The sequence below is a fragment of the Homo sapiens genome, chromosome 9 (assembly GCF_000001405.40).
Source record: "Homo sapiens chromosome 9, GRCh38.p14 Primary Assembly".
NCBI lineage: Eukaryota > Metazoa > Chordata > Mammalia > Primates > Hominidae > Homo > Homo sapiens.
Genome location: NC_000009.12, coordinates 73,040,869 through 73,067,614, shown reverse-complemented (window position 1 = coordinate 73,067,614; position 26,746 = coordinate 73,040,869). Strand labels below are relative to the sequence as shown.

The window sequence follows — 26,746 nt, the reverse complement described above, 5'->3', positions numbered from 1 at the left end:
AGATCTGGGATTCAAGGGCTGCTGTTCAGATTCTTTTGTCCCACAGTATGCTCCCTCTATGTGGTGTTCTCCCCCTTCCTCAAGGGATGTGGCTTCCTAGGAGCCAAACTACAGTGATTCTTTTTGCTCTTCTGGTTCTAGCCAACCAGTTGAGCTACTGGGCTCCAGGCTGTTACTGGAGAGTATCTGCAAAGAGTCCTGTGATGTGATGTGTCTTCAGGTGTTGCAGCCCTGGATACCAGTACCTGCTCTGATGGAGGTAGCAGGGGAGTGAAGTGGACTCTGAGTTTGTGTCGTGTTTTTGTTTAGTGCACTGGTTTTGTGTTGGTTAGCCTCCAGCCAGGAGGTGGCGCTTTCAAGAGTGTATCAGCTGTGGTCCTACAGGGAGGATGCAGACTTGCCCTAGGAACACCTGGTTAAGTATTCAGGTTTCTCAGGCAGTGGGCAGAGCCATAGAGCTCCAGATTATGACTTTTGTCTTCAGCTACCAGGGTGGCTAGAGAAAGACTACCAGGTAGGGGAAGAGATAGGTGTGTCTGAGCTCAGCCTTTCCTTGGGCAGGGCTTGCTGTGGCTGCTGTGGGGAATGGGGGTGTGATTCCCAGGCCAATGGAGTTATATTCCCATGGGAATTATGGCTGCCTCTGCTGAGTCATGTATGTCACCAAGGAAGTCGGAAAAAGCCGGTAGTCACAGGTCTCACTCTGTTCCGACACAGCCCACAGTCCTAAAGGCCAGTCTCACTCCCACTGTGCCCCCCAACAGCACTGAGTCTATTTCCAGGCAGCCAGTTACCAGAGCTGAGAACTTGCTCCAGACCACCGCCTCCCTGTTGAGAAAGCAAGCCGACTCACAGTTTTTCAGTGTCTCACGCAGCCTCCAGCAGTGATCCAGTTCCTTCAGAAGGTCTGTGGATTCTCTTAGCTTTGCTGCTATGTTCCTGCAGTAGTTTTTGGAGCAAAAGTCCATGATATGAGTCTCCACACACCGGTGTGTCCATCTGAGAGGGAGCTGCAAGCTAGTCCTGCCTCCTATCCACCGTCTTAATCCCCTCTCTTGCAAGCTCCTTTCAACAACCAGCTCTCATCATCACCAAGTAAATGGCACCAAGCTATTCATGAGAGATCACCTCATGAGAGGTGACACAAACACCTCCCACCAGGCTCCACCTCCAACACTGAGGATTACGTTTCAACATGAGATTTGGAGGAGACACACATTCAAACCATATCGATTGTTAAATCAAGAGATATCATCTTCTAAATCACTTCACTGCCCATAGCAATTTTACCTTTCGAAAGTCTTTACAAGCAATACTATTCTATGACCCACAAAGGCCTAGTGAAGTAGATTGCCAATCAATAAATATTTTAAATGGTCATGAATTATCCAGTACATGTTCAATGACTTTACATTTAAGTCACTTAACTAAGTACTGCTAGGACAATAGGTGACATTCTGCCTTTCAAATGTGTTAAACTCTCTTCCTAATCTGCTGGATTTCTAAACTACCCTGTTTTCACCGATTCAGATGGCAAAAGCCTTTAGCAATGCTAAACATATAGATGAAAGTCAAAATGCTGGGCAGAACAGTAAGAGGCACACTGAGGCCCAGTGAGGACTGCAAGTATGGAATGCTAGGACATAGTGTAAGCTAGGTGAAGTTGGCATGGAGGAGTCAAGGAATGAAGACTCTAGAAAAGTGACCTTCTGTGCAAAGAGGTAAATTGGTAGAGCTATACAAATATGCTTATCAAAGAAAAAGCATCCATCATGTTGAGATGGTATAATTCCCTTGAACCCCTTCACCAGCAGGAACTGAAGTGGCTCATTTCACTCAGGCTGCCACTGGCCACTCCTTGCAGGAGGAAGCATGCGAGCAAGGGAATGAGGGAACCAGAGTGAATGAACTCTAGAACTGGCTAGTCACTCCTCTCTGGAGGGGGCAGGCTCTGTGTGGGCCCCACAACGGTGTCAAACCATGTTACAACCAATGCTCTTTCAGCTCTGCAGTCTGGGGACTGCCAAGTGTCAACCAGCTCAGTGGAAGGTCACAGTGGCAGCCTCCGTCTTCTTGGCGCCCAGGTTCTTGTCCGGCATCCAGGAAGAATCAGGTCACACAAACTGAAAGGTGATTAATGCAGAAGACTTTATTGAGCGGTGGGTGGCTTTCAGTGGAAAGGAAGGCTGGAAAGGGAATGGGAAGGTGATCTTTCCCTTAAACCCAGCCATCTCCGGCTGGGCCCATCTCCGAAGCTGCACTGCCTGAAGTTAGCCACGTTTATCTGTTGTCTCTGATGCTCAGTTGCTTCTCTGCTCGCCACTCAGCTGCTTGTATCCTTGATGCTCAGTTGCTTGTGTTGCTCTGCCAGCTGAAGTCTTTTATGGGCACAGGATAGGGGTGGGGCAGGCCAAAAAGGCAACATTTGGGTGGAAAAATGGGGTCAGTTGTTTTCACTTAGGGCCGAGGTTCCAGGCTTAAGGGTGGGGTTCAGGCAGGAGCCCAGCCCTACTGTATCAATGTCAGGGTCTGTTTTACAAAAAGAGGTTATTGCAAAGCAATTTTCAGATGCATACCCCATTTTTATGTGTAAGGAGGGTAGGAGGAAGCTTGAATATTTATGACCAGTCTTAGAACAACTAAAATATGTGTATGTAACTTTATGACTATATATACACATTATGTACAGGTATCTGTGTATATAAATGCATATATATATATATATATAATTGTATTATCATTATATATGTCTACTCTAAGGAGTTTTGCAACTTAGGGATAATATTTGAGTCATTTTTTTTTATGCTTGGCACCTAAAGTGCCTGGCTTAGACTAGGGCCCTGAAAACACTCATTAACATGAAATAAAAGTGTTTTGTATGTATGCAGAGTTTCTTGATGAATCAATGAATAATCTCAGACATCTAAGGTTTTATACTTACAGTTTTTTGTCTTCCTGTATTCTCAGTTGCCAGCTTTTGTTTTCATTTAATTAATGCAAAACTTCTATATCCTGCAGTTTCAACTCACAGTTCGGTTGTCTAGTCTGAGAGTCTGAGGATTCACTCTCCCTCTAGACCAGCTCTACCAGCTTTATGACAGATACTTGCCACCCTTAAACATTTCTTTACCATTTACATGAGTTCACAGACGTGAAGGGAATGTATAATCTTAAATAAACACAATATGCTCTGTATTAAGCTTATGCTCTACATACAGTACTGTACTTATAGTATTACGTTTTTTGAAAAATTCATAGTTTTGTCAGCATTCTATTTACAGCACATTGCCACATCTTTCTCTTTTCCTATATTTTTAACAAAATCAATGAAAGTATACATGCAGTATTTTACACTTGCTATTTGTAATATATTATCCCTTCATTCCAAAAAGTAAACTTCCACAACAATCATTAAATAGCAGGAAATATTAACCATCTGCATGCATGTATCACACTTCAGTTTTAAATTTTAGTTTGGAATATTTCAAACATAGAGAAAACTAGAATAAAAAACGTGATGAACAACCTTCAACTCATAATCAAGTTCTATGAAATTATATATTATATCATTGAAACTCTGTGATACCTTCCCTATCTTAAATCCTTTCTCCACAGAATACTGGATTTTGTGTTTCTCATCCTCATGTAAGCATTTATTCCCATAGTATAAACACTTGAATATGTCCATACAAAATACAGCATGATTTTTCGTGTGTTAAAAAAATTTATGTAGGCCGGGCACGGTGACTCACGCCTGTAATCCCAGCACTTTGGGAGGCTGAGGTGGGCGGATTGCCTGAGATCAGGAGTTCGAGACCAGCCTGGCCAAAATGGCAAAACCCTGTCTCTACTAAAAGTACAAAAAAGCTGGGCGTGGTGGCGGGCACTTGTAATCCCAGCTACTCAGGAGGCTGAGGGAGGAGAATCGCTTGAACCCAGAAGGCAGAGGTTGCAGTGAGCCAAGATCGTGCAACTGCACTCCAGCCTGAGCGACAAGAGAAAGATTCTGTCTCAAAAAAAAATATATATATATAAATATTATATCTTGCTCCATATGTACTTCTGCAATTTGCTTTTTTACTGAATGTTTCAGCAATGTATTCATGTTGATTTATGTAACACTAGCATACTTGTTTATACTACTGAATTCTATTGTATGACTACAACATAATTATGTATATCTAGCATCTTATTTATGAGCATTGGGTTGTTTCTAGTTTTTCACTTTTAAAAAAAGCTGGAATGGATAATGCATGCCTTCTTCTGCATATGTGTGAGGATTTCTCTAATGGAATTGCTAAATCTCAAGCAAGTAATCTTCAAGTTTATTAAACTTTTTCAAATATTTCTTCATATTTACATACCCAATCAGAGTGAATGTAAGTTCTCATTTCTCCAAATACTTAGCACTATTTGTATTGACCTATTTGTAAATTGTAGATTGTTCGCCAACCTACTATGTGCAAAACAATATTTTAGGTTGCTTTAATATGTATGTCACTGATTATTACTGAGGTAGGTACCTTTTTATGCTTGTTGGCCCTTCATATTTTCACCTATTTATAAGCCTTTCCCATTTATTGGGATGGAGATCGGTGACTTTTTCCTTATTAAGTTGAATAAAGTCTTCTTAATTCTGGATACTACTCCTCTGTCTACTCTATGTGTTCCAAATGTCGTTTTTCACTCTATGGCTTCTTTAGCTTTTGTCTATTATGCCTTTTTTAGCGGAAATTTACCATTTCAATGTAGAAAATGAATTGTTTTCTTATGGATTGCATTTTCAGTATCTTGTTTAAGAAATTTTTCTTTATTCTTCTAAATATCTAAGGTTTGACTTTTCTTATGGAGGTCTTTAACCTACCTGAAATTGATTTTCTGAATGGAATAACTTTGGAACATACTACAAACACAACTTTATATTTTGAGATGCTGCCAGAATTTCTTTTAAATTAAGGCATATACTGTTGAAACCATTGCCATTATGGAAACTACATAAGTTTTGAGTTGAGTTTGATGTAGATTTTAACGCTGCAGTAAGCCTTACCTGAAGAGTATCTTGGGCATATTCATCTTTCTGAGCCTCTTTTTCTGCAAAAAGTTTATACTAGGCCGGGCGTGGTGGCTCATGCCTATAATCCCAGCATCTTGGGAGCCTGAGGCGGGTGGATCACTTGAGCTCAGGAGTTCGAGACCAGCCTGGCCAACATGGTGAAACCCCATCTCTACTAAAAACACAAAAATTACCCAGGTGTGGTGGCACATGCCTGTAGTTCCAGCTACTCAGGAGGCTGAGGCAGGAGAAACGCTTGAACCTGGGAGGCAGAGGTTGCCATGAGCTGAGATGGTGCCGCTGTACTTCAGCCTAGATGACAGAATGAGACTCTATCTCAAAAAAAAAGATTAGTACTAATGCCTGTTTCATGGTTTGTGTCAAAATTAATAATTCAGAAATATCTACTATATTGCCTGACACACAGAGTATGCTGTTAGGGACTCGATCTCTGGCAGTGAAAGGAAATAGCAATAGCTTGAGAGAACCAGAACAAATCAAGACGAATGCTTGCTTATCTAATTTTGGCACAACAAGATGATGATAAATAAAAATGAATATCTCACATTTTGGAAACTAATAATATGAATGTCTGTTGAGATTATAGGATCAGACTTTCCCTCTATGAGTCCTAGATAATCCTAGGTTAGGAAGTGAAGATTCAGAGTTCTGCCCAGGACAAGGGCCAGAAGAGACAGTTCTCTGGGGCTGAGAGAAGGCTCCTTTGCTTCTTTATTTTACCAGCCTCAAGGTGTTCATAAGTTGGAGTGAACAGCTCTAATGCAGATTGGATTGGTCAGGGTAGGGAGTGGGTGGGGGGACCTATCCACAGGGAGAAAAGAATGCAAGGAACTGTTCCAGGATGCAGTCTGGGAAGAGTCTGTGCTTAAGCAGTAGGCTATAGAACTTTTTAATTTTTCTGGAGTCATCCTTTCCAATAGCCCCAAACCTTCAAGTAAATTTTCTTCAAAATCACAGCTAAATCTCAGTTACAGTCTTGAAAAATGGGTAAATCCCAATACACATGCTTATATACAAACAGTCCAGGGAGAGAACAGGGATCCTTCTCTTCATCAGAATGGACAGAAGACATGGCAGATGCCATCAGACAACAATGTTTCTGGTGGAGCCGATGACACTGTCAGCTACCCATGCATTTGTGTTGGCAAGATGCAATGGGAAGAGAGGAAAAAGTTCAGTGACATTTTGGAATGCACTTGAGATGTTGGCTTTGGAAAGCTTCCTAAATACCAAGGACATACTTTGATTATGGTTCTGGAAAGACACATGGGGGCTAATTTCCATTAAAATGTGCCATAAAAATGAAAGGAAGAGAGAGAGAGCCCGGAGCAGTAGCGTGCACTTGTAATCCCCAGGAGGCTGAGGTGAGGGCATCACTTGAGGCCAGGAGCTTGAGATCAGCTTGGGCAACATAGCGAGACACTGCCTCTACAAAAAATAAAAATAAAATAGCTGGGTGTAGTGGCACACACCTGTAGTCTCAGCTCCTTGGGAGGCTGAGGCAGTAGGATCACTTAAGTCCAAGACTGTGAGGCTGCAGTGAGCTATAATTGTGCCACAGCACTCCAGCCGAGGTGACAAAGTGAGATCCCATCTCTAAAATAATAATAACAAAAAACATTTTTAAAAAATTAAGAGCTTCTTTGATGAGACTTGGACCTTGGACCTTGTAGATTAAAAAAGTGTGAGAAGACTGAACAGATTTTTAAGCCGAGGAGTTGTAAGCAACACAGTAGAAATTAAAATGTGAGCAGAGATATCAGAAATACTATCTTTACCAGATATTCTTAGACACTTCCTTTTTGCTAAAGCTCTTCCTGTTCTCTCACTAGATCCACTCACTTAATCATTAATTAATTCCATCATTCACTGAACATTCAAACCAATGTGAATGGATTGAATGTTCGGCCTCCTTGTAGCCAGTTCAATCCAATTAAATGTGTATTACATACTTCAAATAGTGCTAGACACTGGGGATACAATAGGAAGCAAAACAGACTTGGCCCCTGCATTTGGGGAGCTTGCCAGGTGGTAGAGATCAGCCTTAAAATAATGAATGGAACCAGGTATTGGGGCAGGGATGGAGGATGTAATCAAGAGATCATCAAATGATTACACCCCAGCGCAGTACCATATAGAAATGAATGACACTATAATATCTGGAAAAGAGAAAATTATGTTTAATAAAGGAATCTTAAAACATCAGAAACTCAGAAAGACTTTTAAAAGCCGTTAAAATGAATGTTTTGTAAGTTGATCATCTCACTATGCTGGGAAATGTATTCATGCACCATGCATCAGTACACAGGGAGAGCAGATAAAAACAACACTTTTGTGTGCAGAATTTACAGTTTGTGGGGCCTGATAGTAAAACTGAATGGAAGTACACTATTCTCTGGAAACACCTTGAAGGATAAAAGACCTATAAACTTTTATTTTTTTATGTATTTTGGCTCTTCCAGTGTTAACAATAGAAAATATGTTGACTGCATCCTGCATTTTTTTGTTTATCTAAAGAGAAATGCAATGGAGGTATTCCTCACAGGGAATTTCTTTTTATAGCTTGTTAAGCCGTAAAAACAACTCCCTTTAGCTATTTCTGATTTAAAGTGCATGTAGCATAGGATTTTTGTATTTGTTTATTTAAAGCATGACTTGAATTTTGTGAGGAGGTCCCATGTGAATCTGAAATATCAAATTGTGTATCTACACTTCCAGAGTCCTGGAACCATCTGCAAACCAGGACAGATTTCACAGCCTAATTAATAATTATGTAGATAGTAAAATCCCCAAAGACCCCTTCTGCCTTTCTTTAAAATAGTTCAGATTTCTTCTTGTGTTATTATGGGTTGATATTTCATCTGAATTATAGGTTTAACTGGGAATAAATTAGAGAATTACAATGTAGCAGGCGATCCTGTTCTTTTAAATTTTGGGTGCAAGTTTTCTTCTGTAAAAGACTTGAGACCAGGCACATCCTGCACTCATTTGCATCATGGAGTGGATAATGTTTCCAGACTGATCTTTGTCTTTATAACGTTACCAAGAACCCCCAGGGACTGTGGCTACAAGGAGGCCTGGGAGATGTAAGTGTCTGCATATACTTGTATGAAGCAGGGTATTTAATTCCTATAACTCTGCTTTTGTACTTCATACATGTTGCCTCTAAGACCTCACTCATCTTGAATTCCCAGTGGATGCATATATCCATATATTATCAACTTCTCTATAGTCATAATGATTTCTGTGAGTAGTTTCCAGATTATTATTCAATGTGTCTTTGTTAGTACAAGTTTATATATATATAGATAGATAGATAGATAGAGAGTTATACTATGTTGTTTCTGATTACATATTTCATGAAACAAATTATTGCTTTAGGATAAGCAAATACACATAATTAAAATGAACTTATCATTACATATTAAATGACAAAGAAAAGCTATTCTTATTTTGCTTTCACACTTTCTTTCCCCAGTTTTATTCTCATCCTTGTTTCTAAAGATACATAAAATACAAACATAAATTATACAAAAAGCCCAATAGTATACTATTTAATTATGCCTTAGGAGCAGAGGAAGAGTGCAAAATAGCATTTTATAATACAAGGTGTTGAAAGTATAAGCTTTGCTTATTTTTTTAATAAAGTGGTTAGAAAAATGCAATTCTTTCAAGAAAATATCAGATAAATAGATACCAAGCTTTTCACAGTTTCTAATCATTCCCATTTTTCTTGAGTATACAGAAAATTTGACAAGTTTCTTATGGTAAAAATATAAGAATAGTTTCATTTTGACACAACGCCATGAGGGTAATATAAATAATTTCAAAAGCTCTTAGAGAAGCACAAGCAATTCAATTGTCTGTTCACAAGGAGAATGTTGAATTTATTTATATTTGAAAAAAAGACTAAGTATTGACTTTAATTTTCTTTCCTTTTTTTTTTTTTGAGATGGAGTCTCATTCTGTCACCAGGCTGGGGTGCAATGGCGCGATCTCGGCTCACTGCAACCTCCGCCTCCCAGGTTCAAGGGATTCTTCTGCCTCAGCCTCCCAAGTAGCTGGGACTACAGGCATGCACCACCAAGCCCAGCTAATTGTTGTATTTTTAGTAGAGACAGGGTTTCACTGTGTTGGCCAAGATGGTCTCGATCTCTTGACCTCGTGATCCACCCACCTCAGCCTCCCAAAGTGCTGGGATTACAGGCGTGAGCCACCGCACCTGGCACTGACTTTAATTTTCAATGTCTGTGAATTGCTTAAAAGTTCTCTACTTCCATTGTCACATCTTGGCCAAGATCATCATTATCTAGAGAGCCACATCTCTCTCACTGTTCTCCCCAGTTGAATTAGACCCCAGATGTTCTCTTACCTCCCAGCTTGTATTGCACATCCTTTATAATGCAACTCCACCTCAAACCCTCAATCTGAAATACTAGTTCTTTCACTGCCCATTTTAAGTTCACTTACATGCCTTAGCTCGTTAACAAATTCAATTAATAAAGCATATACTTAGTGCTGAATCTTACATTTAAAAGCATTTTTAAAAATCAGCAGCCAGTTTTATTCTCGTAACTTGCTATTATGGGCTCAATTTTGTCCCCCACCCCCCCGACTCTGAAATTGATGGGTTGACATCCCAACTTTTAGTACTTCAGAATGTGACTGTATTTGGAGATAAGGTCTTTAAAGAATAATGAACTTGGCCAGGTGAAGTGGCTCATGCCTGTAATCCCAGCACTTTGGGAGGCCGAGGCGGGTGGATCACGAGGTCAGGAGTTCAAGACTAGCCTGACCAACATGGTGAAACACCATCTCTACTAAAAATACAAAAATTAGCCAGGTGTGGTGGCACACGCCTGTAGTCCCAGCTACTCAGGAGGCTGAGGCAGGAGAATCACTTGAATCCGGGAGGCGGAGGTTGCAGTGAGCCGAGATCGTGCCATTGCACTCCAGCCTGGGCAACAGAGTGAGACTCCCTCTCAAAAAAAATAAAATAAATCAATAAATAAAAATAAAAAAATTTTAAAAAGGAATAATGAAGTTAAAATGAGACTCTTAGGGTGGGGCCTTAATACATTATGACTATTGTTCTTATATAAAGAGGGAGAGACCCCAGGGATGTGTGCACAAAAAGAAAAGGCCCTGTGAGGACACAGTGAAAAGGCAGCCATCTGCAAGCCAAGGAGGGAGGCCTCAGGAGAAACCAAGTCAGCTGGCACCTTGATCTTGCACTTTCTACCTCGAGAACCGTGAGAAAGTAAATTTCTGTTGTTTATGCTACCTAGCCTCTGGTATTCTGTTATTTTGCAGTCCTGGTAAGCTATTAATTATATATATATATATAAAATATGTACCAAAAGAAGTTGGTAACGTTGTGAAAACACCAATTTGCCTTACAATTAAAAATTTAATACACAAAAATACATAATCTGATACAAAAATTGGCTTGAGGCAATCCCTGTCATCTCCTTTTCTCTACTTCTCTAACTCTAGCCCAGCTCATCTACTGTGACCATGCAATGCTCTCTGCTAGGCTACTCTAGCTCCCTTCTCTGGCCCTCCTGAGCATCTATGCTCTAGATCACTGAAAATATTTAAGATCAGAACTTTTTCTTATTCTGAACCCCATATTTAAAGCAAAGATGAGTATGCTTGTTTATTTGAAGCTAGCATAAAGGGAAGGTAGACAGAGTCCCCTTGCCTGCCTGGTCAATCTGTCACTCACTTTTCCCTTCCACTCATACCCACATGACACCCAGGACACCACTGTGTGAGATCTGGATTTAAACCCCCTGATTTACATCACACTTTATTATTATCTTAAAGTATCCTCACACTACAGTAAGTCTCATATTGGCACTAAAGCCATGCCACATACTTGATAAAACATGTCACAGAGTTGAATTCATAGCATAGCTCAGGGGAATAAACTACACATTGCTAGTTAAATAAACTCAAATCATCTATTTTTCTGAATTGAGTAAGAAACCCTCCACTCAGTCTGAGAATCTAAGCAGATGAACTGCCTGAGGGGTGGAGTTCTGCTTGGAGTTGGTATAGTTTTGGCCTCATGACTAACCCGTATGTAGGAGTCAGGTCTAGCTTGGCTCTTGGTCATTTTTTCAGCTTGAACTGCTGCAGAACGGTAGTGATGAAAATGAATATCTCATTGCGTGCAACATCTTCTCCCAGACACTTCCGGATGCCCATTCCAAATATCAAAACTTTCTCAACAAGACTTTTATTCAGTTCTCTGTTTTCGTTTAGAAATCTGTCAGGTCTAAATAAACTATGATTATCCCAAATAGTTCTGCATAAAATAGATAAAAACAACACTTTAAAAAGAAATTATTTTCTCATTTTTGCTATTGTTGGCAAATTTTCCACAATAATTTTGTTTTTCATGAACTACTTTAAGTTTAGAATATTCCTTAGAAATTATGTATAGAGAAAGGAGGTATACATAAATGAAGTATATATACACATATATGTATAAGTACTTATGGAGATGTATGATTATATATAATTATGAATACATGTCACTTTTTCCTTTAATGTTTGACAAATCTAGTTATGATAAAGATTTAGTACAATTACACTTAATTTTCACTGAAATGACTACCAATTCATTAGTGAATAAAATACTTGAAAATCTATTTCATCAATTTTTCTGAACTAAATAAGAAACCCTCCACTCAGTCTGAGAATCTAAGCATATGAACTACCTGAGATGTGAAGTTCTGCTTGGAGTTGAGATGGTTTTGGCTTCATGGCCAACCCTATACAGGAGCCAGTTCTAGCTCGGCTCTCCTGCAAGCTAACTTCAAGGTATGGGTTAGCCATGAATTTAATTATTTTAAATGAAGAATTCCATAAAATTGTCATAAGAATATTCCAAAATGGTGACATAAATAAAAGGTAATAAATATTCAATATCTTTTGCTTTAGCAGAATGAATAAGAATGATGAGACTGGGCCACATCTCTCACTCTGGTAAAAAACATGTTTAGGAAATGGCCTTTGTACAACAATACAGAGAGGATCTGGGTCTCCAGAAAGCAGCTCTAATTGGGGGATTGCCCACAGTTCTCAAATCACTGTGTACCTGATTCTTTCTTCTATCTCTATCTTTTGTTACAGGCACCATATTTGGCTTGTTTATGACAACCAGTGCTAGCATGTTTTCTGTAGGTCCTAATATCTGGAACCCACCTGGCTTCACATAGAACTGGCCCTGTTTGTGCGTAGATGTCATCATCTCTCTAGAAGGAGAAACTGGTTTCTGTCTGTACCAGAGACCACAGACCTAGAGGATTAGTTCTGTACACAGTCCTCCAATACATTTTGGTTTGCTCTCATAATCTTTTAAAAATAATTCACTATTGCTAACATTTAAAAATCAGATTTCACATGAAAATATGCATTTCCAGGTTCTCTTTTATAATTGTAAAAGCTGACAACATTGGGACATTGTCCTGCTTGCCAACGGTTTACTGAGCCGAGTTAGGTGCGGCAGATGACCTCCCCTCCTCACAGTGCTTCACCAAGTGCAATTCACTTATTTTTCGTATTTTTCATTGCTCAATAGGTGCTTGAGTTTGTGACCTATGCTTTAGATTAATTAAATATGAAGAATTTTCCCATAATATCAAGTCTTTTTTTTTTTTTTTTTTTTTTTTTTTTTTTTTTTTTTTTTTTTTTTTTTTTTTTTTTGAGACGGAGTCTCGCTCTGTCGCCCAGGCTGGAGTGCAGTGGCGGGATCTCGGCTCACTGCAAGCTCCGCCTCCCGGGTTCACGCCATTCTCCTGCCTCAGCCTCCCAAATAGCTGGGACTACAGGCGCCCGCCACTACGCCCGGCTAATTTTTTGTATTTTTAGTAGAGACGGGGTTTCACCGTTTTAGCCGGCATGGTCTCGATCTCCAATATCAAGTCTTAAGTTACATACTCGTTCAGCTTAAACAAGTGCCTCCATACAAATGGTATTTCTTTAGGAGCACCCATGTTAACTCAGTTTGTTTGCACATTACTCAATATTCATTATAATCACCAGTTCTTAGGATATTATTAATAGAATACTTAGGATTATACTAAGTAAGAATAAATGTTATTAAATATACACTTGCTGTATTTCTTCTTATAGTGGTTTCAAAATGCCTAGGTGTGGAGAATGGAAGTGTCAATCTCTGTGACAGTAAGTGTTGCAGTGGGACAGCATATGCATAGTCTTCTACCATCTTTCTGTTTACAGAGATTGTGAAGCTGCCATTAGGTACACAGGATAATCACTTCCCTCTCTTACAGCTTGCAGCCTGAAACATCAGTCAGATGAGATCTTGGGTGAAGAGAAAAGACTGTATAACATATTTACTGTCTGCTGAGTGCATAAGAATGCAGTCTCTGCCAGTCACTGGAGACATCAAGCCCTGACCACTACAGGAAGCACATGGTTTCCATTACATAAAATTTACACATTTGGATTTGAGTCCTACCTCTGCCACCTTCTGAACATGCGACTTTAGGCAATGTGTTTAACCTGGCTGAAGGTTTCTTTATCTGTTAAATGGGGATCATGATAGCACCAATCGTGTTACTATTGAGGCTCAGGAAAGATACTGCAAGATTTTGTGCCTTGCCCACAGTAGGAGTCTATAAATATTAGCTGTAATCATCATTCTCACCACCACCACTGTCATTATCCTCACTTTCACTGCATTAGGTACTCTCATCTCAGCCCTTTCTTTCATAGCTGATGTGGGTGAACTTCTAACTTTATTTTATTCAACAAATATTTATTGTGTGCCAACTATGTGTGAGGCAGTGATCCAGGTGCTGGGGTAGAGGAACAAGTAAGCAAACAACAAAAGAAAAAAAAATCCCTGCTTGGTGGCTTACATTCCAGTGGGGGATTTCAGACTCCATTTCAATGTATTAGCCATGGCCATGCAAAGGGTGAGCCCATGAAGTCCTCGGCCCAAATCTCTCCCAATGAGCTCACTTTTGAAATTGGATTTGCCCTATATTGGATTTTTCCTCAATTTGTGTCAATATATCACTGTTTGCATTATAGATGAGGAGAGAAACTGAACTTCTTTCCAATATCTTTCAAGAGAAACAGGAGTGAAGGTTGGCTAAGAAGACTGTAAATCTTTTCCAGATTAATAAACAGTAAACAACCAAGCAGGCAAGCAAATTTATCCAAAGATTAATTTTGGTAACTTACTCATCATGATTTACTTGATACATGTTGATAAAGGTGCAAGTTTTCCTGGGAATGAAATAGCCATTCAGAGTGGTGTCTGCTGTAGTACTAAGACAGCAAAAAACAGCATTACAGCACTTCCTGTCAATTCAAATTACCCATCTCTAAACTGTCACCAGCAACTCACAGACTATTTTTATTTATGTCTTTTTTTACTGTAATAATATATCTTTATACATCTTCATTCTTTCATTAATTAAAACAATTTCCACTTCTTGTCAAATTAATAATTTATTTTTCTTGCATATATTAAGCATATTGTGCACTTAGTATATTCAAAGCACTTCTATGAGCTAAACATTTCCATAGAAAATTATCTCAATATTTCTATGACAGAGTTGACCATAAGCAGGCAGATCAAATTACATCAGGAAACGATGAAGAGAATTATTAAGTACTTCTGTGTGCTCAATGTGTTTGTGTCTATTATTAATAAATTAGAAAGACAAAATGTCACACCTTTTAGTACTGGGTAGAAGGAACAATGGAATTGGAACAAGGAAATCTGAACTTTGGATGCTGCCCTCAGTGGGATATTGGGCAAATTATCTATTCTGCGACTCCACTTCCTAGCTATGAAACGAAGGTGTTGGTTGTGTTGGATGGTCTGTAAGTTGCCTCTAAAGCAAATATTCTATTTTTCTAGTCTGATACTCAAACTCCTTCCTGAAACCTGTTTGCCTTTCCCCTTTATACCTCTATAATTATTCATGGATTGGATTCAATCGTTTTATGTTTCCCTGTGGCACTCCCTACCTCGCTAACCTACTCTCACACTCACTTCCCCAAGAGAAGCAGAAACATTTCAATTTGATTAGTTTGAGAGAAGGCATTGTCTCACTACTTCTGGGTTTTCTCTTCAGATTAGCCAATTTGTAATGAAGGTACATCTTATCTACAATCAGAAATAGGCTGAGCTTAGAGGGTCAGATTTTGTCTTTCCACAGGAGACCTGAAAGTGTTCAACCTAGCTGGAGACTGAGTAGAGAAGTATGTTAATTTCGAGGTCTACTTGATCTAGCTCTAAGCCACATGGTGAAAACTAGCTCTGATTATTTAAAAAGCTAATAATATAATTTCTATTTTACCTGTGTCTATTTTGTGGCTAGTACTGAGCTTTGGCAAATAATATCAATGTTATTTATTGAGTTTCTCAAAACCCAACAAAGGGGAACAAAACAAGCCATAGACTCGCTTTTTGGAAGGTTACCTTTTCTCATGCATAGCCACTTGACTTTCTCAACACATCCCTGTCCACACTGCCTCTGTGGATTCAGCTGCTCAGATTCTACTCATAGAAGTTATATGCTTCTATTTTACAGAAACCTGGTATGTAAAATTTTATTTCACTGGTATTAAAATATAAGAGTGAATTGTAACGTTTCTCTATCTCCTTTTATGTTCCTTAAATTTCATGTGTATATGTGGCTTTCCACACAACTTTTAAGAAATGCATATGCAATAAATATTTATTAGGATATGGTTTGGTCTTTCCTGTGTGTTTTATATGTGTGTATATATGTTATATGTAATAGCAAACTTTTGCTGCTTTTACTTAAGTTTATTTCATTTAGTTTGTTTAAATTTATTTTATCATATTTTGTGCCTTTTGATTTATTTTCATTTTAAATGAAAAACAATAAACTTCCAAGTGTAATAGAATAAATCAGTCCTAAATAATATAAGTAAGATAGCTCTTTTGTGTGCACAAAATTCCTGGTTCATATCATGCTGCTTTCATTAGCCAATGCAGTAGTTCTTTCAATTTTCCATTTTAATGTATTCCGTTACTTTTAATAATACAATGAATATCTATGTCCTAATACATATTTCTCCCTATCACTTAGACCCTCAGATGAGTTTACAGGGCCCTAATTAGATGATCACTTTCGTTCCAAATGATGCCTATAAACTTGGCAGAGCCTCTCTGTTCCTGGGTACTTAGCAAAAGTGTAGATAATACTCGTATGAAGCACCCAAAGTCACCTTTAAAAGTTATTGGGACAGAAGAGTTGCTTTTAAATAGGTAGAACTTTTTAATTTTTTTAAAACTTACAATAAAACGAAATTTGCTTTAACTGAGAGAGGATCTGACATAGCAGCTAGAAAAAAAAAATGGATCGCTGTGAAAAAAATAGCCACTGTGTGTGAATAAAGAGAGCAAACAAAGGGCAAAATACAGGGAACTATGTCACTTGCTGTCTGGCCTTGCCTCTGCTCAGCTGGCGGTCTTGCCCTTTGGGACACTTACCTAAGGACACTGCATGCTGTCACACCAATTACTAAATGATTACATCAGTTTCCTGGGAAGAGAGATATTCCCACTCCTTCACTATTTAAAGGGAGGGGGAAGAACGAACACTGAGAATTCCAGGTGGTTTTTTTTTTTTAATAATTTTTAATTGTGTGGAATAAAAACAGAACAAACTACTAGAACTTTGGTTCCCCACAGATGCATTTAATGAAGCTATCTACCTAATTTATGCTGGCATGCATTTGCGTGCTAGAGATTCTGGAGTAAGATTCAGTAAAGTTTCAAGTATCTGCAAATGAATACTCTGTTTAATCTCATTGTGACAACATTAGCTTCCTTAGTTTACTGTTTAGCAAAATTCTAGGCTACTAAAAACAAATCCATATAAGAAGGAAGCTAAGTCGGCTCCTTAGCTTAAATTAAGCAAGCTTGCATGACTTTTCATAGCCAAATACATATTACGGTTGGATTATCTGTTGCTTGGACATTCCATAACTTTCTGACCCTGTGATTAGTACACATAAAATAAAAGTTAATGACAACATAGTTTAGTAATGAAAAATGCTCATGAAATGTGCTTTCACTGACCACAAAAATTTTATTACAGTGTTTAAAAATAAAATAAGATTTAAAGTAATATTAAAACCATAATACAATGTACATTTTAAAGAACTTAAGGTATTCCAATGTCTAAGATTCTTCAATGCCTCCACCCCACCACTAGTGGCTGTTTTAAAGGAGAATTACATGCTTGCCAATGTGGAATAGTAAATGGAAGAAAAGAGGCATGTCTGAATACTTCACTTACGAAAGCTTCTGTGTATGGTAAAATTTTCCTGTCTTCAAATCTGGGTGGTCTCAGCCCAATGTTTCCATCTTTAAAGAAATTATTTTTTGATTTAATAAGAAAAATGATAATCGTAAGAATTACATTTTTCATCTGAAAGCATATTACCAATTTCTTCTTGAATTCTGGCTTGAATTTCTGGATAGTGTATCAAATAAAGAAAGCTCCAACATAGACATGTTGATACTGTTTCAAACCCTAAAATAGAACCAAGAGACCGAGTGTCATGAAAAAAAGCATAGTTAAATCAGTTTGCTCATTTTATTTCCTATTTTACTGCTAAGAATTAGCAGAAAGAAATCTAAAGAAATTAGATTAAGAATTTAGAAGTTAGATTAAGAAAAAGAATTAGCAGAAGGAAATCTAGCCAAAAAATAATAGAATCATAATAAAATTATTATTAAGGTCATTTCCAAACTATATGTGCTTTTGCTGAACTTCTCACCCATTAGGGTAGTGCAAAATGGTGTAGCTACTATAGAAAGTAGTATGGAAGTTCCTAAAAGATTAAAAATAGTATTTATATATTATCTAGCAATCCTACTTCTGGGTTATATATCCCAAAAAAATTTAAAGCAAGATATTTGAGATACATTTGCACATTCATGGTCATTGCAGCATTATACACAATAGCTAAGAGGTAGAGACAACCCAAATGTCCATTGATGGATGAATAGATAAAGAAACTGTGATGTATACATACAGTGGAATATTATGTAGTCTTAAGAAAGTAGATTCTGTCACATGCCACCACATGAAAAAACCTTGAGGACATTAGGCTCAGTGAAATAAGGTAATCACAAAAGGACAAATACTATATGACTTCACTCATAAGAGGTTTCCAAAGTAGTCAAAATCATAGAAACAAAGCATAAGGGAAATTGCCAAGGGCAAGGAAGGATAGGGAAAATTAGTGTTTAATGGGCACAGGATTTCAGTTTTGCAAGATGAAGAAGTTCTAGAGATCTGTTGCACAACCATGTGAATATACTCAATAGTACTGAACTATATCACTTTAAAATGTTGTATATTTGTAAACATAATTAAAAATAAAATAAAATTTTAAAAATATATAGGTACTATTTATAAGACTAGTGAAAACATAGGAAGCATTGTATTACATAATAAACACCATTGATGTAGATAATAATAATGGCTATTATTTGTAATAAAAATAAGAAGTTATTAAGTAGTTACTCTGATCCAGGAGTGTGCTCTCTCTCTCTCTCTCTCTGTGTATGTGTGTGTGTGTATATATACACACAATATATAACATATATATGATACATTGACATACTTATAATATATATATTTTATAAATCATAATATAGATAGGAAATGTATAACTAACTATGTTAATTTTACTGAACCTCAAAGACATTATGGGTTTTGCTCAAGGTGAATGAACTCATAAAAGGAAGAGCCAATACTTAAATTTGAACATTATATGAGCACATAATGAAGGGTTGACCAGATTCAATTTATTTGAATAAGTTTTAATGTATATTTTATAGTTTCGATTTCACTCTTTAAACAGAGTATCTTTATTTTTGAGATTATCCATACATCAGCCAAATGGTTTCATTACTGAAAATAAAAGCAAAGAACTCCGTATGCCAAACTTCATCTTTTTTCAAGGGCTATTTTATGATTACTACATCGAAGAATGTACTCAATCAATTCTTGAAAACCTAAAACTCAGAAATGCCACATTAAAAAGCTCTTCTAGACTGTTTTAATTGTAAATTCACCTCTATGATGACCTAATGTCAAAAGTAATATTATTTGTGTTTCCTACTCAAATCTTATAAAACCAGTAGCAAAAAATGAGTTTTTAAATCAATATATTTAATTTCTAGATTTTCCTGATGATGATAACAACACGGGTAATGATGAATATGTTTACCAAACATTGACCACTTAAATACATTGTCATCTGAGATGGGGGCCACAATTATCCTCACATTAAAAATGAGAAACTTGCATCATAGAAATGGTAAAGTATTTTACATGGGTCACACAAGAGACAAAGGTAGTTGTTTTCTAAATAACTTGCATCACAATATGCACAGTAAATATACCCAGATGCAGCTGCAGAACAGAGTTAGCTCCTTTCCAAACTTCACTTCGTAAGCCTGTTTTCACATCTGTTGAACATGGCAATCTCTCATAGTGAGCCAGTGGCTTCTTCGGTTCTTAACTCAGAAAATTTCTAATATGACTTCATACTGCAATAAGTTATTGTAAAGGTAAGCTGTTCAAATACAGTTACTGACCATGATGTCTATAGCAGAGCACAGTGTAGTGTGAAAATCTGGACTTCTGTGTGGAATATATCAACTCTATTCTCTAGCGTAAGGAACTTTATTCTCTAGAATAAAGAACATGCCATGAATAGTGCATGCAAAACACTGCTTTCACTCACGGTAGAGCCATGAACCTTATATCCAAGAGCTATAACTATCTGTGTGAATATCAGGATCTATATTTTGATTATCATAAATTTTGCTTTTTATATCAAGGCTTAAGCAACCAGCAGTTATCTATCTTGGTAGATTATTGAAACATTGAGGGTAAAATCAATGATTTTGGGAAAACCTCACTATACCCAAAGAAGAAACTAAATTATTTCTACAATCAATTTTAAAAGTTAAATATGGAAATATAAATGTTAATAATATAGTAGATCTGATGGAACAGAGTGCTTGCAAATTTTATCTACTAAAATATATGGTTTAGAGCTCACTGATTTATTCTAATAATATATTTTATTACATCTCACTAGTGAGGTAGCAGGTACATGTGGAAGTTTATGGTTTTATTAATTTTCATTATTCCTCTATTTACATTAAAATATAAACTCTATCAGATATGTTTATTTAGCAAATAAATGTTTTATATAGTAATCCATTATACTGAATACTGTTTTGTGCACATTTTACTCAAACCTTTTTTTAGCTGTGTTGTACATGTCATATGGTTTTATTCTCCATCCTAGTCATTTTTGTCATCTGCCATAATTTTATATTTGCTAATTACTTGATAATCTTGGAAGTATTACATATATCTGAAATATATTGATATTATCTCATTGAATCAAGATCAAAATAAATTATAGTAAAACAGGAGGAATAAGTTCAAGAGATCTATTGCAGTCTGATGACTATAGTTAACGATTATATATTGTGTTCTTAAAAAATGCTGAGAGTGGATTTTAAGTGTTCTCACCACAAAAATGATGACTATGTGAGGTAATGCATCTAGATTTAGCCATTTCACAATGTATACATACTTTAAAACATCATGTTGCATATTATAAATACATACAATTTTATGTGCCAATTTAAAAATAAACAAATAAAAAATAAAACTCACTTGATGTATTTATCACACCCACACATACCCAGTCTTTAGTACTCACTAATGTTCAGGCATTTAAAAATGTTCTGACAAATACTCATATTTGTACATAGCATTATTTAAGTCGTCAGAAGAAATACAAAGTACAGCCTGGTCACATTTTTATGATAAATAATCAGATGAAATAATCCATCAAATTGAAGTCATGATTAAAATAATAAATACACACACACATATGTGGGGGCTCGTGCATTTGCATGAGGAAAAATAATACAAATCAAAACAAATGCCTCTGTTTGCAGAGAGAATTCATGATCACAAATGCATAGATCCTAGAAACAAATGAACCCAATTACCAATAAATATAATATAAAGAAGAAAAATAAATACATTTGAGGAGTATTCCACATAAAATGAAACTGCTAAAACGCTTATGATATTTTATATTTTCTTATACTGAGAATTGGCTTCCTGCAGTCTAGTATCTTAGAGGAACTCTAATAAATGTGACAGATAAAAAATGACTTTTAAAGAAAACTATAAAATTTAAGAATGAGAGTAATGTGGTAGCAGTACGAATTGGCACAGTCTTTGTGAAAATGAATTTAGCAATGTGCATCAAAACTCAATAATTCTTTCATTAGTTGACCCAGAAATTCTGCTTCTTAGCATAAGGTTGTATTTCAAAAGGAGGCAAAATTCATGTACAAGAGTGGTCATCTTAGCTTTAGCACAACATTCAATATCTGCATTTTCTGTGCAAGCCAGGAGGTGCAAACAATCAGGGTATCCACATGAGGTGGGTAAAATAAATATGGGGGGTGCCAGACGTCTAATATTACGTGAACTTTAGAAGCAGCCAATTGGAAATATGCCTGACAATCATGGTTGGATTGTAAGAGTACAGAGATTCATGAAAAAAAGCTAGAAACAGTTTTAGATGTGAATAACAATTATATTTACGTAAAGTACATGATAATACAACAAGCCTGTTTTATAAGAATACAAAAAACAAAAACAATAACACTTTAGTTTCAGAATAAATGTCAATGGATTGGGTGAAGGGACTGGAAGTGAAAGTGATAAACAAGGACAATCATTTCATGGACAATAATGTGAAGGCACTATTAACTGCGGGCTATTATTAACTCAAGTCTCTACTCCTGAGATCAAAATGAAGTTTTCTGAATGACGTAAGAAGATAGATAACAAATTTATACGATGTGAGATCAACTAGATAAAATGGCCGATATGGGAAGAGCAAAGTCCTCTAAACTGTGAACAATGGATAAGAACAAATTGCAACTAATTTTTATTGGTCTTACATGTTGCTAAATTCTCTCACATACCAGCTCCAAAGAGGTCGCTCACGGTGCTTATGATTTCACTGTCATTCAAGGTGTCTGTTTTGGTAGCAGCATATTTGTTGTGGCATACATTAATCAGAGCATCAGTAATGTCTCGGATATGATCCTGAGGAGACAAATCTTAGCATGACTTTTCATCCCTGTCTATGTTGTATATCAATTTAAATCCCATGCAGGAAGAGCCATATTACCATATAACTTGAAGGGAACCCATTGAGTCTTGGAATATAAGGAATGTAAATAGATCATCTTAAACCTTGCAACCATTTTTGCTTAAAATTTGTAATGCTTAATCTTGATAGTGTGGAATAGAAAACCAAGTTACCAAACTCAATTTTCTCCTCAGAACTTCTTTCAATTAATAAAAAAGAGTTCCTGTATCTATAAGCACAACTTGAAAATATCAGCATTCTCTATAACTTATTACAGAGAAATTGCTTGGCAATGTTTAAAAAGTTTATTTATTTATTTATTTATTTATTTATTTATTTATTTTTATTTTTGACACACAGTCTCATTCTGTTGCCCAGGCTGGAGTGCAGTGGCGTGATCTCCAGTCACTGCAACCTCCACCTCCTGGGTTCAAGTGATCCTCCTGCTTCAGCCTCCCGAGTAGCTGGGATTATAGGCACGCAAAACTACACGTGGCTAATTTTTGTATTTTTAGTAGAGACGGGGTTTCACCATGTTGGCCAGGCCGGTTTCAAACTCCGGGACTGATCTGCCCACCTCGGTCTCTCAAAGTGCTGGGATTACAGGTGTGAGACACCGCACCTTGCCAATAAAAGGTTTTTAAATCTATTGGAAGGATTTTGTGTTCACTTCAGGCACCATGGAGAAAGAGAGAGGGCTGGGGTATTTGAGAGAATGGGAATAAAAGTTTATACACCTTACAAATGCTGATACTTACTATACCTGATCTAGAATTCCCATCTTCCCATCTGGTGCCTTGAAACAGATTGTCTTCTGCCTCTTCTTTTTCACTGGAAGGAACTTAACTACTTACACCTCTTCATTTGCTTAATGATCCCACCTCTGGATGTTTTATTTTTTTCTTGATGACTTCATCCCAGCAAATTGCCCTTGTGAACTAGGATTCTTCCTGGTACATATGTATTTCAAGACAGAAATTTATTCTGCTGACCATCGAAGTGAGCCCCAAATAATTTAATAGCCTCACAAGAAAGGTCCACTCTGCCACCTGCAGAAACTTAATACATGTGTTTTCATCTTAAAATTCATGTCTGTATAACAAAGAAACTCAAGAAGAAAATGAAGGTAATTTGAAAGCTTCCTATAGAATATCCTTTATAATTATTCAAAAATACTATCTGATAAAAATATGCTAATATTTGTGATACCTGTAAGTCTGAGATCATGGTGCCAGATATGAAATGGGAGAGATGAAATTATTGCTTTGTTTCTTCAAGGAACTCACTTATTCTTCATCATTTATAAGGCAATTACTTAATCACAATATTCAATATCTGCACTTTCTGTGCAAGCCAGGAGTTGCAAACAATCAGGGTATCCATATGAGATGGGTGAAATGTATGGGGCAAGGGGGTCACGTCGTGAAATATTAAACAACTTTTAGAAGCAGCAAGTTAGAAATACACCAGACAACCATAGCTGGATTTTAAAAGTATAAGCCTTCATGAAAAACAGTTAGAAACAGATTTAGATTAAATAACAATTACATTTACGTTCATAATACAAGTATATGCCCTATCCACACCCAGGGAAAATTTATGTTTCTGGGGAAAATTTTATGGATTAAAGAATTCAGAACTTTTCTTAGGGTTTTATATGAGAACTGAGTAATGCTGTCATGCAGTCTCACTGTTTGGACCTCAAATTTACTAATAGCTTGGGTACAGGTCATTGTGACAAAACTGTAGTGAAAAGAACCAATGATATTCGAAGCATTTCACCATTATCTTTTGTTTCTCACCAAAACCCTTGTCCTGGTATAAGATCAAATCCTTACCTTACCATAGGTAGCAAGATGATCTTGTACGTGTAGTGCAATAAACCCATTCAGGGCCTGGTAAAACTCCAGAGGAGCATTTATAATCTTCAGTGGAAGGTAGTGGAGACATGGTATGAAATCGGCAGGGTTAGCTGCACTGGAGGCCTTGAGTAAGTCGTCATTTGTTTTAACTATCCTAAGAAATTCCTCATCACTGTGGTCCTATCTCTTGCCAAAGCAAAGGGCACAGACAATGTTGGCCACCACACAGGTGATCGCATTTCTGGGGTCAAAGCTGCCATTCTTGGAAGTCAACTCTACAAAGACTGTCACCAGTTCAGAAATTTCTTCAGTGACATGCTCCTCAAGTGAGCAAGAGCAAGTGGAGGATTTCGCTTCTGCATTAGAAAAAGTTCATAAGGCTTTAGAGGCAATTTTTTTATGAAGTTTCCAACTCTCTCCATAATTCACTGAAAATGAAAGACTCTTTCCTTCTGCCAGGAAAGAAAATGTGTGCATGTTAGGTCTGCCTGCAAAATGCTCCCCATCCTTATGTAGTACTTGTTTCACCATTTCCATTCCATTTACCACCAAGACAGGCACCATGCCAAGTTTGAGGAGAAAGACATCTCCATATTTCTTCCTCATCTCCATTAATGTAAGGTAAGGATGATCTCCAAGCTGGAGAAGATTCTCTATGATGGGGAAGGACTAAGGGCCAGGAGGAGACACCTGCTTTCTGCCCTTGCTCCTGAGAGCTCTTACAAAAACAAAAACCATCACCAAAATGATGAGAGAAGTGGTCACCTCTCCAGGAGTGACTGCCAGGTCGAGAATCATTTTCGGGAATATAACACCTAAAACAGAAAAATGTCTATCTTATTTTTGTAGTTTTAGACATATACTAAGTAGCCTCTCTCCCTTTGAACATTTAGGGGGAAAGTACAGACTCTTTGAGATTAGTTGAAAGCCCTTCTTACCTGATGCACTGAAAGAGCAAAATCAAATTCTTGCAAAATGAATGGCATCTTTATCCTAATTTGATTCTTTTCACAGTTCTAATCACCAGACCAAAATCCTGCAAGATGAGTCACTGACCATAGACAGAAGAAGATGAAAGTCAGTGGAGAAAGCAGTCTGGTGACTTGGAAAAGGATTAAGGCTCCAGCAGCTGACTTTATACTCATTCGGGGGACCTCAGTGCCTCCACTTAACCTCAGTGAATCCCAGTTTTCTCCTCTAACTATCCTACCTCACAGATTTAGTCACATTCTTTCAGTAAATGTTTTCCACACCCCCTAATATCAAGCACTAAGAATATAAAACAAAAATTCACAGACTAAGGAGGAAACCAGGTAAATAAAAATAAGATTAGAAAGTGGAAAGTGCTATAAGGGAATTGGGTGCAGAGTAGTTTGTCATTGTCTGTGGATCAAATCAGATTATTATTTTTTAAAAAGTACTTGGGGACAGGTGCAGTGGCTCACATCTGTAATCCCTGCACTTTAGGAGGCCAAAGCGGGTGGATCACTTGAGGTCACGAGTTCGAGACCAGCCTGGCCAACATGGTGAAACCTAGTCTCTCCTAAAAATACAAAAATTAGCCGGGCGTGGTGATGTGTGCCTGTAATCCCAGCTACTCATGAGGCCAAGGCAGGAGAGTCACTTGAACCTGGGAGGCAGAGGTTGCAGTGAGCCAAGATCACACCATTGCACTCCAGCCTCGGCGACAGAGCGAAACTCTGTCTCAAAAGAAAAACAAAACAAAACAGTACTTTGTGAATTACCAGCCATTTAACGGATATCTAATTGGTTGTTTGCCTACTCCCTCTGTCCTTGGACTTCCCAGGCTGTTTATTAGGGTGACTTTCTCAATTCTTTCTGCTCTATGACCATGGGTGGTTAATCCAAGAATGGGCCACTAGCCCAAGATAAATCCTCCTTAGGAATAGGGAAGGGGACTGTGAAAGATCATCCTTTCTCTGGGCAGCTAGATCTATAACATCTAAGTTCCAAAGATATGATTTGGTGGTCTTTCACCCATCAGGTTGACCTAAGAAAGCATGTTGGAAAAATAAATGAAGTAGAAAGGAAAGAAATAAAAGATAAAGAGAGGCCTCATGATCTTACATTCACCACTTCTACCTTCAGGAGACCTAGGTACACTCTTGTCTCTAGGTTGAATTATTTCCCACTTAAACTAGCTAGAACTGGTTTCTGCTACTTGTGACCAAGAGGATCCTAACCAAAATAATAATAATAGTAATGCTTTATATACATGCAGAATATTTTTATTAACTATTGCATTTTATGGTAACTATAGACAGAAGAAGAGGAAAGTCAATGGAGAAAGCAGCCTAGTGACTTAGAAAGGAAAATTTAGTATTTCCTCTCTCTTAAAAGAAAACACAACTAAACTGTTCACACTTCTCAAATTACTTACAGAGACAAATAGCACTGATAGATATACTCATTGGCTAGTGTAAATGTCCAGCTCTCTTTGATTTTTGAGAAGACCAACACTTCGTTTCTTCTAAGCTTTAAAAATAATAAATTTTAATAAACTGAAAGATTATTTTGCAAATAGCAATGAATTTGTCTTCCAGTT

The 26,746-nt window shown here is 37.2% G+C and overlaps 1 pseudogene, besides 1 other annotated feature; it reads right to left on the bottom strand.

Annotated features, from left to right (window-relative positions):
- Window positions 234–1,433: an enhancer, noted in NCBI's record as "MED14-independent group 3 enhancer chr9:75681098-75682297 (GRCh37/hg19 assembly coordinates)". NCBI's record gives its function as "activates an origin of replication core promoter dependent on BRD2, BRD4, P300/CBP and CDK7 cofactors, and independent of MED14, by STARR-seq in HCT116 cells {active_cell/tissue: HCT116}" and the evidence as "EXISTENCE:reporter gene assay evidence [ECO:0000049][PMID:35650434]".
- CYP1D1P (cytochrome P450 family 1 subfamily D member 1, pseudogene) lies at window positions 11,018–24,978 on the bottom strand (annotated as a pseudogene).